Source organism: Homo sapiens, chromosome 3 (genome assembly GCF_000001405.40).
Source record: "Homo sapiens chromosome 3, GRCh38.p14 Primary Assembly".
NCBI lineage: Eukaryota > Metazoa > Chordata > Mammalia > Primates > Hominidae > Homo > Homo sapiens.
This window is the reverse complement of record NC_000003.12, coordinates 31,373,081-31,381,596: the sequence shown is the minus strand read 5'-3', so window position 1 is coordinate 31,381,596 and position 8,516 is coordinate 31,373,081. Positions and strand designations below refer to the sequence as shown.

Here is an 8,516-nt window from a genome sequence, read left to right as displayed (position 1 = left end):
GCTACAAGATCTGCTTCAAATATCATCCAGCTGAGAGACAGAAATGTTAAGAAAAAAAAAGATATCTCAATATTTTACCCCCACTTGGTTTGGATTGGTAAATATATTCATTATGGTAGCAATAAATACCTTTGTATACAGACCTTTATTATTCATTGGGGTAATTTTCTTATGATAAATGCCCAGATGTGAAAAAAATTGATCAAAATTTATGAACATCGTGATGGCTTCAGATAAGAAGTGCTAAACTGACAACCCACGTTTACCAATATAAACTGCCACTGGCAACACAAAGAAATTAATTTCATACCAAATCTCACTGTACCATTGTCACCCTTATAATAAGATATCCCAAGTCAAGGTCACAACAATACAGTATAGAAAGTAGAACAGGGGTCAGAACTGCTAGTCTTCTCTTTGTACCGCTGGCTATATGATTATATATTTAGAAAAAACCTACAAAAATTCATATGGATTTTGTCTTGCAAAAACCAAAATGCGATTATACAGTACATATTTGTATTCACTTTGTTGTGAGTGTCTTCCCATGTCGGTACACAAAGAACTGCTTTCTTTTGCTAATAGATGTCCCTTTTCTTAAAAAATAAAAACATTAAGTTAAAAATTTAGGCTGGACGTGGGGGCTCATGCCTGTAATCCCAACACATGGGGAGGCCCAGGTGGGCAAATTGCTCAGAAGTTCATGACCAGCCTCGGCAGCATGGCAAAACCTGTCTCTACCAAAATATATAAAATATTAGCCAGTGTGGTGGCATGTGCTTGTAGTCCCAGCTACTTGGGAGGCTGAGGTGGGAGGATCACTTGAGCCTGGGAGGTGGAGGCTGCAGGGAGCTGAGATCATGCCACTGAACTCCAGCCTAGGTGACAGAGCGAGACCCTGACACACACACACACACACACACACACACACTCTCTCTCAGGGAAAAAGTCACATTAAATGTGTCATATTAATTAATTGCTTGGCGTTACAAGCACTGTAGTCTTTCTTCCTTCCCCTCTTTCCCTTCTCTCTTTATGGTTGTATCCTGTATTGTACACTACTTTCAGAATATGCGTTGTGTTGTTTAGCACCCACTCATTTAATATATAGGTGCTGCACATACAGGCATGAAGGAAACAAACATGGCACCTGCTCTTTGGAGTTTCCACCCTCATGGATCTCTCTTTGACTTTCTGCTTTGCCTTCTAAGCTTAATACTTAAATTCCAAATGCTTATCATATCCTGTGTCATTTGCTAAAAGTTGGCAATAATTAAGAGTGATCTTTCTAGTAGCAACACAAAGTGGGAAATTTGACCAGATACATAAGTTACAGTTGCTAAGGAAATGAACAGTTATTCACAGTTCTGGGGATGGAGAGAATTTTCCCTGTGGGTTTTCATTAAGAAGATACCTTGGCCAGGCACAATGGCTCATGCCTGTAATCCCAGCACTTTGGGAGGCCGAGGCAGGCGGATCACCTGAAGTCAGGAGTTTGAGACCAACCTGGCCAACATGGTGAAACCCTATCTCTAATAAAAATAAAAAATAAAAAATTAGCCAGGCATAGTTGCATGTGCCTGTAATCCCAGCTACTCGGGAGGCTGAGATATGAGAATTGCTTGAACCCAGGGGGCGAAGGTTGCAGTGAGCCTAGGTTGTGCCACTGCACTCTGGCCTGGGCAACAGAGTGAGACCCCATCTCAAAAAATAAGAAAAAAAAAAAAAGATAACTTATGATGTAGAGCAGTATGTTCTCAACATTATCTCAACAGTCAGCACAAACTGAATTTCACAACACTGTTTTCTGGGATGTGCTTCAATACAGCCCAGTGACGTAATGCCAAATATAATTCAGAAAAATGAATTCTCCCAGGATTACAAAGCTTAATGACTAGGTATACAACTTTCTGACTTAACCCAATGATATAATTTAGAGGGTCTGGAGTCCAGACCCCAGACACTAGAGAATATGTGGAATACATATGTTTTATGAAATAATTCATCGATAATACCTCATGCAACGTAAGTTTCTATGAATATAAGTTAGCAAGGAGTTTGAGAATATACTTCACCAGTCCAGATATTTCATGCCACTAGTTATAGCATATTTGGACGCTTTAATGGGTTCTATAACATATCAAACCTGATGCTAGAAACTTGATGTAGACAGCTGACTCCAAAATATCCCTACCCTACAATGCTCACCATCTCAAAAGAAACCAAGACTTGTACACAAATAGCTGTAAGAAAAAGTATTAAATGTCAAAGTTCATAAAAGGAGTTTAGATAAAGTGCAATTCATTCATTCAACAAACATTTGTTGAGTACCTAGGATTTGCCAAGTACTGTGCTAAATTTTGATGATACATCATGCCTAATAAAAAGTGTGTTACCAACAAAATTTTAAAAAAATAAAAAGGCGCCATTTCACATGCCTGTAATCCCAGCTAACTGGGAGGCTGAGGCAGGAGAATCGCTTGAACCTGGGAGGCAGAGGTTGCCATAAGCCGAGATGGAGCCATTGCACTCCAGCCTGGGAAACAAGAGTGAGACTCTGTCAAAAAAAAAAAAAAAAAAAAAAAAAAAAAAAAAAAAAGAAAGAAATGAAAAAGATTACATTTATAAGGGCAACAAAAAGTATTAAATATCTTTACAAGCATTTCAGAGATAAATTTAAAAAGACCTAAATAAGTGGAAGGATATACTACATTCATGGATTGGAAGACTCAATATTGTTAAGGTGTCAATTCTTACCAAATTAATCTGTAGGTTTAATGCAATTACAATCAAAATTACCTTAGAAATGTTTTTGTGGCAATTGATAAGCTGATTATAAAATGTGTATGGAAATGCAAGAGACCTAGAAGAGCTGCAGTAGGGAGAAATGATCCCTCCAAAATGGTCACATCTTAATTTATGGAACCTGTGAATAGTTATGATCCATAGCAAAAGGACTTTGCAGGTGTAATTAAGGTTATGGAGTTTAAAATATGAAGATTATCCTGAATTACCTGAATAGTCCCAATCTAATCATGTGAGCCCTAAAAAGCAGAGCACTTTCTTAGACTGAATACAGAAGAGATGCAGCAAGGAAGCCAGAGAAGTTTGAAGTATGTGAAGGACTCATCTTCAAACCATTGCTGGTGGTTTGAAGATAGAGAGGGCAGCATGACAAGGACTGCAGGTGGGCTTATAGCTGTTAGAGGCTCCCAGATAACAGCCAGTAAGTAAGTGGAGAACTCAGTCTTACAGCTGCAAAGAACTGAATTCATTCAAAAACCTGAATGAACTTGAAAGGAGATTATCCCTAAGGGACTACAAATAAATACCCAGACTGTCTGATATTATAGTTTTGGCCTCGTGAGACCCAAAGCAGAGGAACTAGTTGAGCCCATCTAGACCTCTGATTAACAGAACTGTGAGACAATAAATTTGTGTTGTTTTAAGCTGTTAAGTTTGTGGTACATGGTTACAGGATCAGTAGAAAACTAATACCATATCGAAGGCAATCTTAAGAACAAAACTGCAGGACTTAACGTTCTTTGTTTCTAAGAATTGTTCTCTCCACCACATAGCTCTAAATGAAAGAATGGCTTTTGAGGCCATGTTCGTCTTATATGACTCTTCCTCTCTGGCTACAACTGGTTGGATGGACTGGGATGAACTTGATTGTCTGGGGAATTTGAACTAAGCCCCGCAGAGACAGGGTCTGTTACTCCAATGTATCTCACCCCCTAAATAAGTGGAGTAAGTATTCATGTGCTTGTGTAGTCTTCTTCCTTTGAATCTGGGTTTTAACTAAAAGAATGAAGCAGAAGTGTCACTGTGTCAGTTTTACTAATGTGACCATGTGTTTATGTTTACAGTTAGGAAGGACATTAAAATGTAAAATGGGGCTCATGGCATGATAGGGTTGATATGATGATTAAATATGCTTGTATTCATGAAATGCCATGTCTGATTCTTGCTATGTGCCTGTTACTTAACAGGGGCCTAAGTAAATGTGAGTTTCATTTGCCGGGTAAATAACTGGAGACTGATGGCTTTCTGAATTTTTCTTCAAGTAGTGATGGTTATTGACTCAATTTCCTTAGACTAAGTATAGCTATGTGCACAGTAGCTTATCAGGAATTGGATACAGTCTGTGACCCCAGAGAAGTGGTGGGGGAGAAAACTCATAAGAAGATCAGACCAGAGCCCAGGCTATATAAGTACAGTGAACCAACTGAGCTAACCATGAGTCACGGCTCAAAAAAATTAATACCTCATGAGTCAATCCATGGCAAACTTCAAAGGCTGCTCACAGAAACCTGTTTACCTTCCCTGCCACCACTTGAGAGAACAAGGTCTTGCGTTTCTTAACTGCCAGCCCTAGAACCAAAGCTTAGTTCTTTGATCCTGTTGTGTACTCTACTACCTGGTGGAGTTATGTCACATGTGATACTAATGCCTAATATGTAACTGAGCACTTCCCATGAGGCAGATACCGTTCTAAATACTTGATGTGTATTAATTCATTTCAACCTGCCAATATGCCTCATGAGACGGGTATTAATAATATTCTCATTTATAGATGATGAAACTGAATTAGAAGAGTTTAAATGACTTTACTTCAAACAACAAATTAGTAGCAGAACTTGAATTTGTCTCAGGCAGTCTAATCCAGGATTTGTGTTTTTAACCACAATATTATACTGATTAGCTACAGGATGAGAAATGTCAGAGTTAAAATTATTTTGAAAATATAATTATTTTGGTTTCACAAATTGCAGGTACACAGAAAAATTGCAGTACACAGAGTTCAGCTTTGTTGACTTCAAAGACGAGGTGTATTTCTCTTCTTACTACTTTCAGGACACTGAAAAGAATCATGTCTACGAGCTTCTCCCCTGCTTCACTTTGTGATGAGTCTCTGCTTTCTAGGACAGGAACATTTCCTTTCAGGTTCCTGCACTTGAATATCTCCTTCCCCTAATTTATCGTCCTGAATGGATGGTCATGGTGACATCTACAACCTGCTTTCTGTAATTCCTATTCTGATTAGCTAAAATATAGGTATTGTTTTCTATCTTGTTTATTTTTACACAAGTTTACCTATATAACAAACCTGCACATGTACCCCTGAACTTAAAATAAAAGTTAAAAAAATTTCCTTCATTCACATTCTTTCCTCTACAACCTTACTTCCCTATTTTTCTGTTTTCTGTTAGTCATTTTCTGACATTTTGAAAATTAATATTTATACTACCCACATCTATGTTTGATTTTTATAAAATGGCCCTTGTCATGTGCAATTGAAGAAGTGGACTATTTGTTACACACCATTTACCAAGGCTTTATTTTTCTTACAATTGCTTGCTCTTGATGGGCCATTTATTCATAATAGAATGTGGACCTCTTTTAATACTTTAATATCTAAAGACTTACACTGAATTTTCTCCACATTTACACTTCCTGGAGTCCTCTGAAATTTTCCATATCTTTTGGTACTTCACACAGGTGAAATCTGGGGACCAAAAGAGATACCTTTTCCCATACATCAGGCAAATATCTCTTTTCCTATCATGTTTGCTCACAGAATGAAACCTACTCTCAAAATCCCTTAGCTCTGTTCTGAGATCCCTGATAAACTTCGATGGTGTTGGAAATCCATCAATGTCAGCCTCCAAGTTTTCTACTAATGCTTCTAGACCATGTGGCCTCTTAGAAACATCCAACTGATATACAGCAACAACATGCAGGAAGACAAAGGCATCTCCAGTGGGACTGAGAGCAATCTTAACGCAGTGAACAGCTTGAGATTCCAGATTGCGGTGTTGGCATTGGTATCCCTATTCTTCCCTTCAGAAGAAAATATTCTTAAAATGGGCAATTTGTAGGTAAGTATCTTGTTTGGGGTCTCTAGAAGCAGAACCTGAGGCAGAGATTTGGGTACATGTGATTTTCTACAGCATGGATATTTCCTTTCAGGTTCCTGCATTTGAATATCTCCTTCCCCTAATTTATCTTCCTGAGTGAACAGCCATGGTGATGTCTATAAACTGCTTTCTCAAATTTCTCTTCTTTTCTCCTTCCCTCTTTGAGGGAATACTCTTCAGGAACTACCTGTTTGGGAGTGAGGAAAGCAGGACTGGAAGGCAAAGAATCAAGCAAGGCTACAGTAGTCCAGGTTGGCTTTTATCCATGCGGGCTCTGGAGCATGCATGGTGCCATGGAGAAGCGGTTGGACTCTTAATTTTTTTTTTTTGAGACAGTCTTGCTTGTTGCCCAGGTTGGAGTGCAGTGGTGTAATCATAGCTCACTGCAGCCTTGATCTGCTCACCTCAAGCTAGCCTCCCAGCTTAGCCTCTTGAGTAGTTGGTACTACAGATGCCTACCACCATGCCTGGCTAATTTTTTTTTGATTTTTAGTAGAAACAAGATCTTGCTATGTTGCTTAAGCTGGTCTTGAACTTCTAAACTCAAATAATCCTCCCACCTCAGCCTCCCAAAGTGCTAGGATTCCAAGCATGAGCCATTGTGCCCTGCTGGGCTTTTTAATTTATTTATTCTTATATCACTTATTAGTTATTTGCCACTATCTGCCTCCTCCCTTGGTCACGTAAACTTCTAGGCATCTCATGGCCAGCTATTCTCTTTAGTCAAGTACAATTCTCTGGCAAAGTTTACTCAGGTAAGCCGCTAATGGCACCATTTGCAGCACCTGGGAGAGGGGCACACCAGCTGTTAAAGAGTGTCCAGTGGATCTCATACAGGGTCTATCGCAATAGGTAAGAGTACAATGATTATTTATAGCTCAAACAAGACTCATTTTTTTTTTTCCAGTATGCAGGAAATTTTCTGTGCCATGTTGTTGATTGGAGCTTCATTCTACAAGTGTTCCTGTTGGAGTTAGGAATGTGTTTGGCTGCAATAATAGGCAACCTAATTAATACTGGCTTAAACAAATAATGATTTATTTTCCCCATGCAGTTCCAGATTGAACAAATGCTATGAGGGACACAGGCTCCTCGAGATTTCTCTGGCATCCTTAGAATGTTGGTGTCATCCCATTCATGCTCACCTAATGCTGCATTACCCCAGGCCTCCTCCATGTTGCAGGCAGAAAGAAGTAAGAAAGGGAAGTGTTGGCACCAACAGGCTTCCACTTCTGCTTCATGCAACATAACTATGGTATATGGCTACTCCTGGCTGCAGGAGAGGCTGAGAAAACCAGCTTTTGGTTTTTATAGCTTCAACAGAATGGAGATAGGCATGGGATAGTGAGATTGGAAATGAAAATCTGTCTAGTTCTTCTGCAGTATCTGCTACAGAACCTTTATTTTTTAGCATTATTTTCTGAGGAGTTACTTATTGACTACTAAGGGTGTGATAGTTTCCTTTAGGCAGAACAAGACAAGCTAGGAGGCATTGGGGAGCTTGCCCTCTAGGGAGGAAAGTATACCAATAAGTCAGAATCCATTCAATGTGACAAAGACTCTGAGAAAGGCATGACTTTCCCATATAAGTGAGAACACAGAGGGTGGACTTGGCCAGTTGGGCTGAGAGAAAGCAGTTGATGGAGACATATTGGCACAATATGTCTGTGTGTCTAATGTGATTGTGGATGAAGAATAGCCGGTAATTGAAGATAATTCTTACTTTGTAGCTTCAAAGAATGGATGAATGGTTAGCTAGTGAATATAATTGGATTCTGAAGTGCCCCTGTGGGGCATATAAGAGGAGCTATCTAGTATGCAGTCAGAAGAATAATGGTTAAAACTAACTCAGCCCTCACTACGTGCCAAGCTCTTCATATGGGTGAACTCTCTTAACTCTCACATCACAGCTTGTGCTTATTACTATCATCCCCATTTTACGGAAGAGCAAACTGAAGCTCATAAAGGTTAACTAAGTCATCTAAGGTCACACAACTAGAAAGTGGTGGCACCCAGATTTGAGTGCAAATATTCTGACACCAATCTCTGCTCTTAACCACTTATTAATTCAACAAATATTTAATGAGCATCTATGATGGGCCAGGCACTGTTCTAGATGCAGGGGATACAGTGGTACAGAAAGACATACTTTCTATCCTTATGGAGCTTTCATTTTATTGTAAATAAAACCCCACAATGTTATATAATAAGTAAATTTTATTGTAAAAGAACTGATTTTAAAAAGAACTGATTTTAAAAAATGTATAACTATTTTATAAAAAACATGTAGTAATAACATATATATAATAACAGTTTGATGTTAGTAGTGATACCACTATCACTGTACCACACCGTCTCATGACAGAAATGGAACCCAAAGTAGCGGAATCGGGGTGGCAAAGAGCTTGGCCTGGAGTCCGTGCAGGGATAGGTGGATGACACTGCTGCAAATGGGACTACAGAGAGGAGACTTGCTAGAGCCAAGTTTCCAGAAGCGAAACCTGGCCCAACAGTGCTGGTTTTGACCAGTGCTTCATCAAGAGCAGATCAGAGGTAAGTGTACGTGATACTGCCAAGGCATGGTGGCTCTAGGGC

The 8,516-nt window shown here is 39.2% G+C and overlaps 1 annotated feature.

The window, feature by feature from the left end:
* Positions 3,569-4,768: an enhancer, noted in NCBI's record as "CDK7 strongly-dependent group 2 enhancer chr3:31418321-31419520 (GRCh37/hg19 assembly coordinates)". NCBI's record gives its function as "activates an origin of replication core promoter dependent on BRD2, BRD4, P300/CBP, MED14 and CDK7 cofactors, with strong dependence on CDK7, by STARR-seq in HCT116 cells {active_cell/tissue: HCT116}" and the evidence as "EXISTENCE:reporter gene assay evidence [ECO:0000049][PMID:35650434]".